Source organism: Homo sapiens, chromosome 17 (genome assembly GCF_000001405.40).
Source record: "Homo sapiens chromosome 17, GRCh38.p14 Primary Assembly".
In the NCBI taxonomy this organism is placed as follows: domain Eukaryota; kingdom Metazoa; phylum Chordata; class Mammalia; order Primates; family Hominidae; genus Homo; species Homo sapiens.
This window is the reverse complement of record NC_000017.11, coordinates 50,852,634-50,868,909: the sequence shown is the minus strand read 5'-3', so window position 1 is coordinate 50,868,909 and position 16,276 is coordinate 50,852,634. Positions and strand designations below refer to the sequence as shown.

The following is a 16,276-nucleotide window of genomic DNA, read 5'->3' as shown; positions in this document are numbered from 1 at the left end:
ATGCCATGGGGCCTCCGTGTGTGTTGTTTGTGTGGTGTGTGTGTGTGTGTTTATATTTGGTCAGACATCTTCTTACACTCCTAGGCCAAGCAGCAATAACTCATAAATTTTTGACATCTACATTTCTGACTTAAAAATGCTTTTAATGCTACTGATATTTAATCAGTACCTATCAGATGACTGCTCTCATATTTCAAATCTGGAATTACAGATTGAAGACATTCAGAAAAGAGAACTTGTCCCTTCTCTTTAGAGAATTATTGAAAAGTACAGATAAGTTTGACAAAATTACAATTCATCTATCTTTAGACATTTTAGTCTCAGCCATGCCTAATATGCCCCCCCAATATAAAATTACTAATCAAGACACATGGTCCCGCAGTTCTAGATGTTTGGTACAGTACCATTATTTGCCTAATGGTAAAAGAAGTTGTGCTTCTAGAACACGTGAAAAATGAAGTGTTTCTTTTGGTAAGGCATTCCAAGGATATCCTGTCTAGTTTCTTGAAATTTCTGTGCTTAATTAGAAAACTAAAAATAACTCACTTTTATTACAGATGGACTTGTCATTACAGAAAACCAAAAACAAACAAATAAAAAAAGAAAACTGAACAAATCATTTATATTTGACGCTTTGATGACATTTCAATGCAGAGGAAGGGACATTTTAATTTAAATGCTTTCACAGTTTTGCCATACTTTCACATTTCAATTCCACTCCTGTTTGCAACTAAAAAACCCAAACACTCAAAAAAAAAAAAAAATCACATTAATCAGAATTTAAGGAGTCACTTAGTAAAACTATGTTTTAGGAATCTGTACAATAAACATGAAATCAGTCACCTGACCACTCCCCACCCTCAGCCCATTCCACAAACCCATCTTCCCACCCCTTCTCCTACGCATTGAGCCTTCAGAAATACCCTTTCTCAGTGCGGTTCCTTCTAAAAAGGAGAGGCGGGAGAGTCAGGGTGGAGAAGGCGGCTCCAACCAGATTTTGCGTCCACAAAGCCAAAAGCTTCTAGGCCTGGCATGTACGGCGGGTTTGTGCCCGAGGAGCACAGCTGGTCTACACGGGCCCGCCCCGTAGACACCCTACTCCTCGGTGAGCTGCGGTTTAACTTCCTTATAGCAGGTTGAGAGTGCAGGCCCCAACGTTTGGAGGGGAAGGCGGCGCCCCAACTGGTGTTTTTCCAGGAAGTGCTCCAAGAATGGAGAGGAGAGGGGAAAGGGGAAAGGGGAAGGCCAGGCGATGGGCGTTTCATTCATTGCTTCTTTCTCCCCGTCCCCTCCTTCGCTCCCCCCAGACTTTCCCCTTTTCCCAGTCCGAGTTTGACGTCGGTCTCCTGGATACCAGGCAGCCAATCGCCTCGTTGCGAAGGGACCAGCGCAGCCAATCAGGCGTCGTTGCTACCTGTGAGTAATATTTTTAGCTGAGAGGGACGCTCGATTCCACTCCCGATGTAATTTCGTGTATTTCTCTGGGGCAGGTTGTGAAAAAGGCACTTACCCGCCCCCCACCACGAGTCCCTCTCTTACCCCACTCCCTAGGTACCCGCACATATTTCAGCCAAGAATGATCTTAAACGCGCTTTACAAGCAGGCACCGCGTTTATTCTGTGCACCTGCGATCCAGCAAGCCCTAGAAATGCACGCATGCGTGTGTGTGTAGACATGGACACAGATACATACGCAGTTTGGCCTCGTGTCGCCACACTCTGGGCACGGCGTGGGCTGGGACATTTGGAATAAACGGATCCGAGTCGCAGCCGGGGTCGCACCGGGAGGCCTGAGGCTGCGGAAGCAGTTAAACTGCCGGCGGGGCGGGAGCTGTGGCGGCCTCCCTTCCCCACCCCCAGCCCGGCTCCACGTCTTTGGGTTCTGCAGCTGCCACTCTCTGGGTGGCGGTTGGCCTAGGCCTTGGGGTGATTAATATTCAATTAATCGGGTGCACAAGTCCCGGTCACAGTTTGCCCTTTCTCTACCCCGCCCCTGGGGTGGGCTGGAGGCCGATTTGGTAGCTATTCCACGAGCAGGATCCTCCTTGGCCGCAGACCCCCGCGGAGAGGGCACTTTCTGGGTACTCTTGCCGCTCCTCCAGCCCCGGTTCTCCTGAGCCGCTTCGCCACCAGCTTCGTCCCCCTCCCCCTCTGCCCGGCGCTCTCCGCCTAAACCGGGCGTCAGCCGCCCTACCCCACCCCTTTCTCTCTCATTGGCACGTCTGCCCCCACAGTCCCTTTCCAGACGTTCTCTTCATTCCGTCCCCAGTGCTCCGATCGTCGGTTCATTGGCCCTCCTGGAGCCCGGAGGGTGCGGCTTCCCCACCCCTGCGTCCGCCGCGCGTCCGGACAGGGGCAGGCGGGACTTGGCCAATGGCGTCGGGGGGCAGGGCAGGGGCGGAGCCGGCCGGCGGGGGACCGGGGTGCCGGGCGGGGAGCGCGGGGAATGGCTGCGCCGCCGGAGCTGTGTGACGCGGAGCGGGCGCGCGCACCCCGACGGAGGGGATGGGGGCGGGGAGGAGGCCATAAAACGAGAGGCGGGGCGCGCGCCGCGGCAGAAGGAGCGAAGCTCTGGCCCGGCGTGTAGCGGGCGCACTACGGGGACGCTGGGCCGGGCACCGGGCTGTGTGGAGAAGTGAGCGCGCTCGTCTGACCCCCGTGCCCGCCACCCCGAGCCACTAACGGCGATCTCCCAAGGCCTGCCCGAGGCCTCTGTCCTCTGTCCTCAGCCCCGCAGCGGCAACGTCTTGCACTCGGCGAGCTCGCCGCTCCCGACCCTCCCGCGCCCCCGCCCTGCCGCGCTGCTCCCCGCCCAGCCGCGGGTCTGTGGTCCAAGCCGCCCCGAAGCAGCCCGTAAGTATCTCGGGGCGCCGGGCGGGGTCGGCGAGGAGACGGGAGCCCCGGGCCCAGGCGGCGGAGGAGGGGCTGCAGCGGCGTCGAGCCCTGGGCCCTCGGGAGCTCGGGGACGGCGGGGTCGCGGCCCTGGGCGCCGAGGGGGCAGCGCCAGGACCCGAGGGGAGCGGCTCCGAGGGGCCGCCGGCGCGTCGGGCTCGTCCTGGGCAGTTGGCCGGGGACGGGCGGCCCGGGGCGAGCTGACGGGAATTGGGGGGTTGGGGTGCCCGGAGGAGCGACGAGCTCGCGGTGGAACGCTGGGGTTCGAGGGGCCGGTGGCCGCGAGGCTGAAAATGGTGCCGAGGAACCGGTGCTCCCCCAGGCTCTGGCCGGCTCCCAGGAGCCCGGGGCGGGGGCCACGGGGCGGGGAGCAGCGGGTCGGGTTACGGCGGGGGAGGGGAGCGGCTGACCCGGCGCCCCGACCTGCTCGGTGCTGGGTGCCCAGCCGGGAGAGGTTGCTCTTCCATTTCCCGGGCCTTCCTCCTCCTTCTCCGAGGAGGCTCGTACTCTCTTCCTCCTCCACCTCCACCTCCTCTTGCTGTTGCTGCTGCTGTAGCGCTTGGGCTCCGAGGGCTGTGAGCAGAAATCTAATGAGATCTAACTGGCTGTTTATGTAATTCTTCACACTCCTGCCTGTCTTAAGGCGTTGCTTTGTAACTACCTTCCACCGAGCCTGAATTTCGCTCGGCTGCACCTTCAAGCAATTGGGCTTAATCAGCTGCCTCTGCCGGCACTCAGGCTTTTGACTTGGAAAGTGTTTGTAGTTTGGGGGCAGCCAGAGATTCTTTTTCCCTTTGTCACCACGAATATGGAAAATAGAACAGACGAATTAAGACCAACTTGATTTTTAAACGTACTTTTAAATCAACTTCAGTGTGCAAATAGATCCCTTTCGCAAATATCTTCTGTTTGCCCTTGATCTTTTCTTATCCCCACCCAGTGCTGATCCAGCAAACGTTTAAAGGTCGACCTTACCATACTTGCCTCTCCGGCTGTTACCGTGAGAGGGAGGGAGGGAGAGAGGGACAGACGGAGGTTTTTTAAAATCAGACTAAAACTCAGAAACCCTGGCCTTAAACAGAATAATCAATAGTTTTAATTTGTGTCTTTGCTTTTGTTATACTTGCTGCCGAATAGGTATTTTCAGATTTAGAAAAATACACATTGAAAACAAAAGGCCCAGAGAAGCTGGATTTTATTATATTGTATGCTCTTAGTATACTTAAGGCCGAAACTATATAGAATAATTTGGTTCATAATTATTTACTAGGATGAAGTTCATTTAGTACTCAGTGTCTTTAATTTTAGCATCATGTACTATGGAAATTAAAATGATCTTCCTAACGTAACCAAATTTTTAAATGTCAGTGACAGAGCAGATTTAAACAGTATATATCCAAAGTAAACTAAAACATGGATTCACTTCTAAGTTGGTGAATAACAATAAAAATTACTACCTAAAAGTGGCATCTATATATATGGGGGTGGGGGGAGGATGCTGAGTACAATAAATATTCTTGTGAGAACTGAGGAGAGAAGAATGCATGTTCTAGAGATTTTTCTTCTTAGAACTCTATTCAGAAACAGGTTTTTAAAAGCATTATTTCATTTGTAAATCTACATTTTCCTGTGTCATTTTAAACTTTAATAAACGATTTTCTATTTTATGTTTATTTTGTGCTAGTAACAGTTTTCAGGCTTTCTGTCCTAGTAGACATTTTCTTTTTCTTTTTATCCTTAGCAGACTAACACAGGATCTTAGACATTTTGAAAGGTGAAATTACTTTGGAGGGGGGAAGGTCATGGGACTTATATTACATTTATCTTATTTGGATATGTTTGCTTTTGTTTTAAGGAACAAGATCACTCAAGGTGAAGGATAATCTACTAATACCAGCACTTTGAATGAAAATTTGTTTCTCTGCCACAAACTGAACATCTTTTTTTTTTTTTTTTTTTTTTGGTGGGGGAGTTGAAACCTAATTTTGTGGCGTAGCAGCTATGCAGCTTGAAATCCAAGTAGCACTAAATTTTATTATTTCGTATTTGTACAATAAGCTTCCCAGGAGACGTGTCAACATTTTTGGTGAAGAACTTGAAAGACTTCTTAAGAAGAAATATGAAGGGCACTGGTATCCTGAAAAGCCATACAAAGGATCGGGGTTTAGATGTATACACATAGGGGAGAAAGTGGACCCAGTGATTGAACAAGCATCCAAAGAGAGTGGTTTGGACATTGATGATGTTCGTGGCAATCTGCCACAGGATCTTAGTGTTTGGATCGACCCATTTGAGGTTTCTTACCAAATTGGTGAAAAGGGACCAGTGAAGGTGCTTTACGTGGATGATAATAATGAAAATGGATGTGAGTTGGATAAGGAGATCAAAAACAGCTTTAACCCAGAGGCCCAGGTTTTTATGCCCATAAGTGACCCAGCCTCATCAGTGTCCAGCTCTCCATCGCCTCCTTTTGGTCACTCTGCTGCTGTAAGCCCTACCTTCATGCCCCGGTCCACTCAGCCTTTAACCTTTACCACTGCCACTTTTGCTGCCACCAAGTTCGGCTCTACCAAAATGAAGAATAGTGGCCGTAGCAACAAGGTTGCACGTACTTCTCCCATCAACCTCGGCTTGAATGTGAATGACCTCTTGAAGCAGAAAGCCATCTCTTCCTCAATGCACTCTCTGTATGGGCTTGGCTTGGGTAGCCAGCAGCAGCCACAGCAACAGCAGCAGCCAGCCCAGCCGCCACCGCCACCACCACCACCACAGCAGCAACAACAGCAGAAAACCTCTGCTCTTTCTCCTAATGCCAAGGAATTTATTTTTCCTAATATGCAGGGTCAAGGTAGTAGTACCAATGGAATGTTCCCAGGTGACAGCCCCCTTAACCTCAGTCCTCTCCAGTACAGTAATGCCTTTGATGTGTTTGCAGCCTATGGAGGCCTCAATGAGAAATCTTTTGTAGATGGCTTGAATTTTAGCTTAAATAACATGCAGTATTCTAACCAGCAATTCCAGCCTGTTATGGCTAACTAAAAAAAAGAAAATGTATCGTACAAGTTAAAATGCACGGGCCCAAGGGGGATTTTTTTTTTCACCTCCTTGAGAATTTTTTTTTTTAAGCTTATAGTAAGGATACATTCAAGCTTGGTTAAAAAAATAATAATAAAACATGCATCATTTTTCATTTGCCAACCAAGCACAAAGTTATTTTATACTGACTGTATATTTTAAAGTATACTCTCAGATATGGCCTCTTACAGTATTTAAGATATAGCAAGGACATGGCTGATTTTTTTTTATAAAAATTGGCACTAATAAGTGGGTTTATTGGTCTTTTCTAATTGTATAATTTAATTTAGTACAAAGTTTGTAAAATATCAGAGGATATATATATATTGTTTCTACGACATGGTATTGCATTTATATCTTTTTACTACAGTGATCTGTGACAGCAGCAGCTTCATGTTGTATTTTTTTTACTGAAATTGTAAAATATCCATCTTAAAGACATCAACTATTCTAAAAATTGTGTACAGGATATTCCTTTAGTGGTGGAATTAAAATGTACGAATACTTGCTTTTTCAAAAAAATGTATTTTCTGTTAAAAGTTTAAAGATTTTTGCTATATATTATGGAAGAAAAATGTAATCGTAAATATTAATTTTGTACCTATATTGTGCAATACTTGAAAAAAACGGTATAAAAGTATTTTGAGTCAGTGTCTTACATGTTAAGAGGGACTGAAATAGTTTATATTAAGTTTGTATTAAAATTCTTTAAAATTAAAAATGCCTATTGTCTTTGTTTTTAAGTGTTTTCTGAAGATCGACCTCTGGAGTTATTATGTTGTAAATGCTAATGATGGAAAAAGGCCTGACTCATTGAGTCACGAAGGAATAATGGAAAGCAGTTGCTCTACTGATGTACCAGATCGTGGTTTGCCACATAAAAAATGCTATCAAAACTATAGCCTGACCAGTGCTTGGTACAACTTTATTTTTTAACAGCCCTCTTCAGTCCACATTTGTCTACCCCATTATAGAGATGGTATGGTAAGGTTAGCTATACAGCAAGTTTCAAAATGTCATGCTGACATGGAGGAGTCAGGTGATAAGATGAAATTCCTTCGTGTAATCTGAGATGATTTATTTGAAATTTATATGGAGAGAGCATTGGATCAGTTTTCTGTTTTTGCTGAGGAAACTTGCTTGGACAAAACGGCTGACTGAACTTAGAAAAATTTACATCACTTTACTAATCTTTAAAGTTTAGCTATTGCATATAGCTAGAGAACTTATGGTCAAAATCTATTCACGGCTGGACAGATGGTTAGATGTTAGCATTTTCATTTTCCCAGCAAAAACGCTTATGTATTTAATTTTTTGCAAGTGGGTACCCAACCTGCTGGTTTGAAGGATTTAGAGATATTGACAATGTATCAAATTGGAGTGGCTTGGTGAGGATGGAGTTTTTTAAAACTGAAGAGTTGGGGAGAAGAACACTAAATGAGTCATTTCACTAAATGTCAATTGATACAGTATTGACATAGTATTGGTGAGAAAGTTAACGTCCATTTGATACAGTGTTGACATAGTATTGGTGAGAAAGCTGTCTTAAAAAACTTTATATGTACTTTTATAGTAAGAAACCAGCACTGCCTGGGTTACCAGTGAAATAAATTTGGTCTCATGAGCTTTTTGGACACCAGTCTACAAAAGCCTTTTGTCATTTACCCATGCAGTGTAGAGCAATACAAAGTTTTAAGGAAACAAGCACTGGAAATAACAGAGCTAAGCTGTTTGTCAGCTCCATGGTGAGGCTTTTGTTCTTTAGGGAACAGAACGAGGCTATGAAGAAGTATTGGAATAATGGGTGCAAGCAGCAGAGATCTGGTCTGCCAACACTTACCACTTACATGCTTTTGTGATCACGAAGTTTGAATAGCTGTAAGAACCATCAGGATAATGGCTTTAAGCACTAGTTTCTGCTACAGACTGATAAAGTTACATTTGGGAGAAAACTCTACTTATAAATGAAGGCTCAAGTGTAATGTGCTTTTTCTGAAAATCATAAGGCAGCTGGACGGAACATAATAGAATTTTTTTTTTTTTTGAGACGGAGTCTCTTGCTCTGTCACCCAGGCTGGAGTGCAGTGGCACCATCTCGGCTCACTGCAACCTTCCACCTCCCAGGTTCAAGTGATTCTCCTGCCTCAACTTCCCGAGTAGCTGAGACTACAGGCGCCCGCCACCATGTTGGCTAATTTTTGTATTTTTAGTAGAGACGGGGTTTCACCATGTTGACCAGGCTGGTCTCGAACTCCTGGCCTCAAATGAGCTGCCTGCCTTGGCTTCCCAAAGTGCTCTGATTACAGGCATGAGCCATTGCGCCTGGTCAACAATAGAATTTGAAACTGTCTGGAGCACTAATATATTCATTTTATTTTGAGACAAGGTCTCACTCTGTCACCCAGGCTGGAGTGCAAAGGGGCCATCTTGGCTTACTGCAACCTCCACTAAAGCGATTCTCCTGTCTCACTCTCCTGAATAGCTGGGATTATAGCTGCGTGCCACCGTTCCCTGCTAATTTTTGTATTTTTTGTAGAGGCAGGGTTTCGCCACGTTGCCTGGGCTGGTCTCAAACTCCTGAACTAAGGTGATCCGCCCGCATTGGCCTCCCAAAATGCTGAGATTACAGGCGTGAGCCACCACACCCAGCCAAGCACTAATATATTCAGATTTTAAATACTGAGGTTAACATAAGCCTGAATATCTGTTTCAGATCTTAAGGATATATGTATCGACAAAAATCTTAGGGAAATTTCATCTTGGTACATATGTTTGACATCGGAGAATGACTAACTCAAAATGTGATCTTGATTGGTTTTATTAAAACTTGAGCTTGGTGTCCTTGAGAACTTCATCTTTTTTTTTTTTTAGACAGAGTCTCGCTCTGTTGCCAGGCTGGAGTGCAGTGGTGAAATCTTGGCTCCCTGCAACCTCCGCCTGTCGGGTTCAAGTGATTCTCCTGCCTCAACCTCCCAAGTAGCTGGGACTACAGACGCGCGCCACCACGCCCAGCTAATTTTTATAGTTTTAGTAGAGACGAGACGGGGTTGGCCAGAATGGTCTCGATCGCCTGATCTCATGATCCTCCCGCTTTGGCCTCCCAAAATGCTGGGATTACAGGTGCGAGCCAACGCATCCAGCGAGGACTTCATAATTTTTTAAAAAATGAACAAAGGCCCTGTTTACATGCCCTTTTTGTTCATTAGGAATGGGAATTTTTTAAAAGGTGCTTTTGCCTAGCACATCTGAGAAAAGGTTACATCTTAGTTCCAAGTCATTTTCTCCCCAAGGTGCCATCACACTTTTGACTCTCTGTGGGGAGACCATTTCGGTTGACAATTTGATGAATTCGTTATTTTCACAGGCCTTTCCCATCTTTTTGACTCCTATAACTACAGATACTGTAGCAGCCTCTGAATACCCTGAGTGTCCAAAATGTTGCCTTACAGATTTCATAGCTCATGGATGAGTAAGGAATATTATACCAAAAAATGGCTTTCTAAGTTTAGTATATTCGTTTTCTGCCCTGCCTTGTCGTTTCTGAAATCAGGTACATTGTGAAATGTCCTTTTCGCCTATAATAGATGGCAAATGTAAATATAGGCCTTCTTCAAAATGCCTCCTTAAAGATAACAATATATGCTGTGATTAGTTAACTTAGCTTTTGAAGGTGAAACTAAAGGTACTCTGAGTTTAAAATATTTTTCCAGGGCAGGTGCTGTGGCTCATACCTGTAATCCCAGCACTTTGGGAGGCCGAGACAGGTGGATCACTTGAGGTCAGGAGTTTGAGACCAGCCTGGCCAACATGGCGAAACCCATCTCTACTAAAAACACAAAATTAGCCAGGTGTGATGGCATGCACCTGTAGTCCCAGCTACAGGCTGGGAGGGTGAGGCAGGAGAATCACATGAACCCGGAGGCGGAGGTTGCAGTGAGCCAAGATTGTGCCACTGCCTTCCAACCTGGGTGAGAAGAGCGAAACTCAGTCTCAAAAAAATAAAATAAAATAATGTTTTTCCAATCGGGTGTAAATTTCGTTCCCATATACATGTCTGGCATTTTAATTGAGAGACTTAATAAATCTTCAGGACTTCGATTATTTTAAAATAAGTCACTGTGACACAGAAAGAAACAAAGTATGTCTCATTGGACATACTTAAGCTAATGAAGTAAAATGCCGGTTGGTAGACCTTCCTTTATATCCTTTCGGTACACAAACAGAAAATGGCATAGGCATGCTACATCAGATACGTACCCTTGCTTGACTGGAAATGCATGCTTTTGTCAGATGCTGGGTGACAACTCTAGTGCAAAAACAGATACAAGAAAAACAGAAGACAAGTATGTAAAATGGTCACTGCTGAATAAAACCCATTGCATTGTTTAGTATACCAATCAATTGACGCTTAATCAGTTTGGCCCAGGAGGTCATTTGAGATCAGAGTGCTTTAGTTTTTGTGGTATATTAGGAAGATTATATCTTGTAGTTTAAATGATTTAGGATCAATTATCTGTGGGCATACAATTGGAAAATTAGCACATTTTCCAATTGCATGCCCAGTTTGAAACCATTTTTGAGTGGCTTATGTAAACATGTAGTTGGAGCCATTTTTAAAAATCTTTTAAATCAGGAAATAAACATATAGCACTTACTATGTGTCAAGTGTAGTTCTAACCCAGTTTATAGACTGGGTCAGGGGGAGGGGGATGGGACTGAGGCACAGAAAGCTTCACTGACCCAAGATTGCATGGCCAATACATGGCAGACTAGCGATTCAAATGCAGGTAGTGGTTCCAGAGTTCACGCTCTTAAGCACTATGCTTTGCTCCCTCAGATTAGTTGCTATTCTGATTTGAAGTCAGGGTAATAACACCATTTTCGATGTATTAGCTACGTAATTTGCAGAATCTTTACAAAAGTGTTAATGAGAGGGGTCTAGTGGAAGGCTATTAACCATGCTCAGAATATGCCATGATGATATTTTGAGTGAGACTTTATATTTCTATTGGTCATAAACTGAACTCATAGGCAATAAGGAAATGTTTTTAGAAATCATTGTTATATCATTGCTCTAGTTTTTTGTTTTTTTTTTTTTTTTTTTTTTTTTTTTTTTTTTGAGATGGAGTCTTGCTCTGTTGCCCAGGCTGGAGTGCAGTTGCACAATCTTGGCTTACTGCAACCTCTACCTCCCATGCAACCTCCATCTCCCAGGTTCAAGCGATTCTCCTGTCTCAGCCTCCTGAGTAGCTGGGATTACAGGTGCACACCACCACACCCAGCTAATTTTTGTATTTTTAGTAGAGACAGGGTTTCACTATATTGGCCAGGCTGGTCTCGAACTCCTGACCTCAGGTCATCTGCCCACCTCGGCCTCCCAAAGTACTGGGATTACAGGCGTGAGCCACCACACCTAGCAATGCTCTAGTTTTTTTGGTTTTCATAATTCAGTCATATAAATTACATCTCTTTTCAGAACTACTGGATGATTCCCTGACTACATTTAGTGGTCGGTTACAAGTAAAGTTGTAACCGTTAACCTCCTGTTGCTATTTTCACAACCATTCCTTGTCTGTGCTTATTGATAAACACTCTAAAGAAAGGCCAAGGCCGGGCGCGGTGGCTCACGCCTGTAATCCCAGCACTTTGGGAGGCCGAGGTGGGCGGATCACGAGGTCAGGAGATCGAGACCATCCTGGCTAATACAGTGAAACCCCGTCTCTACTAAAAATACAAAAAATTAGCCGGGTGTGGTGGCGGGCGCCTGTAGTCCCAGCTACTCGGGAGGCTGAGGCAGGAGAATGGTGTGAACCAGGCACTGCACTCTAGCCTGGGCGACAGAGCAAGACTCCATCTCAAAAAAAAAAAAAAAAAAGGCTCAGGAGAATTTCTGTAGTTTCTATGTGGATTAAATCCTGTTATACTAAATACTGTTTACATTGTTGGGTTAGTTGGCATTTGATTGAAGCAAATATTGCTGACCCCTTAGTTGAGCTTTAGGTGGTTTAGATTGGGCTGAAAGTCTTATTAATGGAATTTGACTCGTAAGTATTAATAGTAAAACCTACATTAACCATTTCTCAGTATTTGAAGTTTTAAGATTTTATGTCTTAGAGGACTTGGTTTGTATATATAGTCTGTTAGTGAGAACTTTGAGATCATCTCACAATTAGGCAAACCTTAGACGAAAACATTTAATCAACAGGCAGTCCCTGTCTAGTTGTCTAGTGGCTAACTGAAACTACAGGTCTAAATTCCTTGCTGAATTGTATGAAGTCATTTGATTCAGATGGCTCAGTTTATTCATCTGCAAAATGAGTACAGTGATACCAATATGCTTCCCTGAGGAGCTATGAGAACTAATCATTTGCTATTAAGAGTTGTCAGTCAACTAATAGAACATGTGTCCATAGGGGCTCACAGTATTTAGAAGCCATAAAGTCCAGAATTCTAGCCATGTTCGCTGCCCTTTAAAATGAGGAAAGTAAATGAAGATTATAACTGCCTTATGTGAACATGTTGCTGTCAGTTATTTGCGTCAACAGAAAATTGAAATTCTACAGTAATATTCTAAAAGCTCATGTTTCATAAAATAAGTATAATTATTTTCATAAGAATAAGTATCACGGAGTTTGTATTTCTAGTTTTGAAGCACTGAAGGCAACTAGTGCATTCTTTTTCATACAGTTGGCAAGTTGATTAAAACTCAGTATACTAGTTGACATTTCCTTTTGGGAGCAGCCATAAGTGTTTGCTAAGTTAAAATGTCCTTGCTGTTGTGAAAAATATTGACATAGTTGTTCTTATTTAAACAATATTGCCTGAGGAATAGTAGTTAAAATGTAGCTTGGTGGTGGATACGTCACATGGATAATGGTGCTAGCTTTATTTTAGTGCAGGTAGAAAAGAAGAGGAGGTTCGCTTTACCAAAGGGAAAAACATAGAGGACTTGGAAGGAAAAACACATTCCGTCTGGCATTATGAGTACTTACTTCACTGATAAAATATGACCAGTGTGCAGTACAGAGAACAGGTGTAAAATATTTTTAGACAAACTTTGGCATATACCGTAGGTCGCATCCCTTCTGCCTATACACTTTTCAAGTGTTTCAAAAATAATTGTGGAAAAACCACATTGACAAAATGAGCTAGACATTGATTTCATGTGGGGTTTGTTTTGTTTTGTTTTGTTTTGTTTTTTGCACTGAATGTTAAACATAAACTTCCTTCCTGGCCATCAGGTTGCAGCTATTTTTAAACTCTGATTCTCCACATGCCCTTCTATAGCTTTTGAGGTCTTTTTTTCCTCTTTCTTAGTGCTAGTGAGAAAGCTGGAAAATTATGTTGCACACTCTTTTGGAGTGTGAAGACTGACTTAAAACGATTTTGTGCTTCCTTTAGGCCAGAAAGAAAGAGTGTCAAGAATGGACGTGGCATCAGTCTAGCTTGTTTTCTAGCAAATGGTGAGTATAAGTAAATGACTTCTGTATATTGATAGAAAGGAATGCTATCAGTATCATATCAGTATGATTTAAGAAATGGAATTACTGGCCGGGTGTGGTGGCTCATGCCTGTAATCCCAGCACTTTGGGAGGCTGAGGCAGGCGGATCATGAAGTCAGGAGTTTGAGACCAGCCTGACCAATAGGTGAAACCCCGTCTCTACTGAAAATACAAAAATTAGCAGGGCATGGCAGCACGTGCCTGTAATCTCAGGTACTGGGGAGGATGAGGCAGGAGAATCACTGGAATCCAGGAGGCGGGTCGCAGTGAGCCGAGATCGCACCACTGCACTCCAGCCTGAGCGACAGAGGAAGACTCCATCTCAAAAAAAAAAAAAGAAAAAGAAAGAAATGGAATCATCCTACCCTGCAAATATTGTACACTTTAGTACAGTATCCAGACACCTTGTGACACAGGTTCAGTAGTTTCCAGGCATAGGAACATCTTTTTCTGTTTTGCACTAAATGCAGGTATTCCTTTCAGATGGCTTTCCCTTGCCACCCCTCCACTAGCCATCAATGCATTTCTTTTTCCTTTTTTTTTTTTTTTGGAGGGGGAACGGAGTCTCACTCTGTCACCCAGGCTGGAGTGCAGTGGCGCAATCTCGGTTCACTGCAACTTCCGCCTCCCGGGTTCCAGCAATTCTCCTGCCTCATACTCCTGAGTAGCTGAGATTACAGGCACGTGCCACCACGCCCTGCTAATTTTTGTATTTTTAGTAGAGACGGGGTTTCACCATATTGGTTAAGCTGGTCTCGAACTCCTGACCTCGTGATCTGCCCGCCTTGGCCTCCCAAAATGCTGGGATTACAGGCGTGAGCCACTGCGCTCGGCCCCATCGATGCATTTTTAGTAAGGATGAAGGTTGAATTTTGTTTTGTTTTGTAATGACAATGCCTATTCTTTCTTCACTCTGATTATCCAGATCTGCCTACTGCCCTCAAATCTCTTTTCCCAAAAAGAACTCTCCTAGTTTTGCAAACTACCTGCCATTCTAAAGTTTTGTGGAGCCCTGGTGACTTACTTTATTCTAATTTCTTTTTATTTCCAGAAAACATGATAGGAATCTCTTAAACCATTTTAATACAAGGTTTAAGATAGCTGCAATCTTTGCAGTCAACCTTTCTAGAAACTAAGGTGTCACCAGAGGCTCTTTAACTAAAGACTTTGAGAACAAACAGTTTTCACACAGCTATAAAAGATTTTTACCTGGGGAAATTCTTCTTTGTGAATCTTGAAAAAGGCTGGAAGAAAGGAAGGAAACTTTTTTTTGGTAACTTAGAAAGAAGATTCTTGTTTATTTTCTGAACCACTAAAGTTCAAAGAACTTTTTGGGTTCTGTGTAAAAGGAATAGAGAGATGGAGGTGAGAGCTTATCTCCCCAGGAGCATCTGCCAAAGGAGAAGGGTCTGGCAGCCGGCAAGGGACCAGGGTGTTATGTCTTCTATCTGCCTTTGCTTCCAGGGCCTGGGAAAGGTGGAAAGGACAGTAAAGGAGAGAGCTTATGCATACACTGCCTGACAACTTGCCCTGGAGATCAGTTTCCTCGGAAGGAGGCTTTGCAGAAGTTCTGACACCGCCATTTCCCAAAGATTGTGCGCGTGTTTTTTTCCCAGATTTTCAAGGAGGATGGGGAACTGCTCCTACGTAAAGCACTGCCTATTTGAAGGATGATTTTTATACTATCACAAAGTCTTATGGAATCCAGAGGGAATGACCAACCCCAAAAGCTCAGTAGTAATAATGGCAACCCTTATATGAATTTACTATGTGCTAGATACTGCCCCATTTAAATTCAGTTCAACTTCATAACAACCCTCTGAAGGTTGTACTGTTTCTCCCATTTACAGATATATAAGTGGAGGCAGAGAGCTTGCAACAGTCACAGCCAGCGGAGCTAGGATTTGAACTGTGGGATTCTGTTTCCAAAGTCCATGATCCTTAACCATTACACTATCCTGCTCCCTTGGTTGACCTCAACCGGTCGATTTTATAAAAAGAGCCCCACCTGATTATTTAGAAGTCATCTAAGCTGCACTTTGTGCCCAGTCCCCCTCTCCTGCAAACCTCACTTGTGATTGTTTGCTCAGCAATCCCAAACTTATTTTGCTATCAGCCTTTGCCAGGCACAATTAGGAAAGGGAAATCGGTTGCAAAAACACAATGGAGTAAGATATGAGTTTGAGGGCTACGTGCTAGCTTTACTTACTTACATTGCGACTGCTCTCTGGATGATTAGATTTGTTGAGAAGCAACTATAGGCACTTCACATACTGAAGTCTTGGGTCCTGAGCTTTACTAGTACTTGTGATAGCAAAAGGGTGATGTTGACTCAAGTGGCTGCCCTGGGCTCAGATTCCATTCTTGTCCCTAAATTCTTTCTCAAACAAGGTGAGATATGATTAAAAACAGCTCCTGTATTCATCCACTCAACACATTTATTAAGCATCTCCTGCGTTAGGAACTGGCAGTGATATATACAATCCTTCGGAACCTCTAAAGGAGCTTACATTCTAGCAAACGATAACACACACGCCCAAATAATCATAATACACAGGAAAATGTAGGGGTATGAACAAAAAAGGGTGAGACTGTGCCTATCTTAGGGATGCTAGATCTGGGGGGAGATATCCAGCTATGAAGAATGGGTACAATGTCCACTGGAAGCACCCGGGGAAGCCTGGGCTCCCTCAAATTCCCAGCTCCAGTGGAGGAACAGGCAGTTGAGAGGAAAACCTTGGTCCTGGTGTGTGTGTGTGTGTGTGTGTGTGTGTGTGTGTGTGTGTGTTCTTCATCAGATGTAGCCAC

At 44.1% G+C, this 16,276-nt stretch overlaps 1 protein-coding gene and 1 long non-coding RNA gene across 4 annotated transcripts, besides 3 other annotated features; one reads left to right on the top strand and one right to left on the bottom strand.

Annotated features, from left to right (window-relative positions):
- Window positions 1–538: 538 nt before the first annotated feature.
- On the bottom strand, window positions 539–2,231 carry TOB1-AS1 (TOB1 antisense RNA 1). Its single transcript, NR_038458.1, has 2 exons — window positions 1,693–2,231; window positions 539–1,414 (listed from the first exon to the last, which is right to left on the bottom strand). It is a non-coding gene; the product is annotated as a TOB1 antisense RNA 1 (long non-coding RNA).
- On the top strand, window positions 932–6,687 carry TOB1 (transducer of ERBB2, 1). 3 transcript variants are annotated; one of them, NM_001243877.2, is made up of 3 exons: window positions 932–1,105; window positions 1,308–1,416; window positions 4,747–6,687. In NM_001243877.2, exon 3 carries the CDS (start codon window positions 4,893–4,895, stop codon window positions 5,928–5,930), a length of 1,038 nt encoding a protein of 345 aa, NP_001230806.1. In that variant the 5' UTR covers window positions 932–1,105; window positions 1,308–1,416; window positions 4,747–4,892; the 3' UTR covers window positions 5,931–6,687. The 3 variants fall into 3 exon arrangements, with proteins under 3 accessions (NP_001230806.1, NP_001230814.1, NP_005740.1); NM_001243885.2 differs by lacking the exons at window positions 932–1,105; window positions 1,308–1,416 and adding an exon at window positions 2,556–2,852 and having other exon boundaries at window positions 4,950–6,687; NM_005749.4 differs by lacking the exons at window positions 932–1,105; window positions 1,308–1,416 and adding an exon at window positions 2,556–2,852.
- Window positions 2,221–2,730: a silencer, noted in NCBI's record as "silent region_8714". NCBI's record gives its function as "represses an Ori minimal core promoter by ATAC-STARR-seq in GM12878 lymphoblastoid cells {active_cell/tissue: GM12878}" and the evidence as "EXISTENCE:reporter gene assay evidence [ECO:0000049][PMID:35858748]".
- Window positions 2,741–3,350: a silencer, noted in NCBI's record as "silent region_8713". NCBI's record gives its function as "represses an Ori minimal core promoter by ATAC-STARR-seq in GM12878 lymphoblastoid cells {active_cell/tissue: GM12878}" and the evidence as "EXISTENCE:reporter gene assay evidence [ECO:0000049][PMID:35858748]".
- Window positions 3,891–3,940: an enhancer, noted in NCBI's record as "active region_12393". NCBI's record gives its function as "activates an Ori minimal core promoter by ATAC-STARR-seq in GM12878 lymphoblastoid cells {active_cell/tissue: GM12878}" and the evidence as "EXISTENCE:reporter gene assay evidence [ECO:0000049][PMID:35858748]".
- Window positions 6,688–16,276: the final 9,589 nt, after the last annotated feature.

What these genes read in the sequence shown, in the direction of transcription:
- TOB1 (NM_001243877.2), top strand. Translation starts at nt 4,893, where the DNA reads ATGCAGCTTGAAATCCAAGTAGCACTAAATTTTATTATTTCGTATTTG.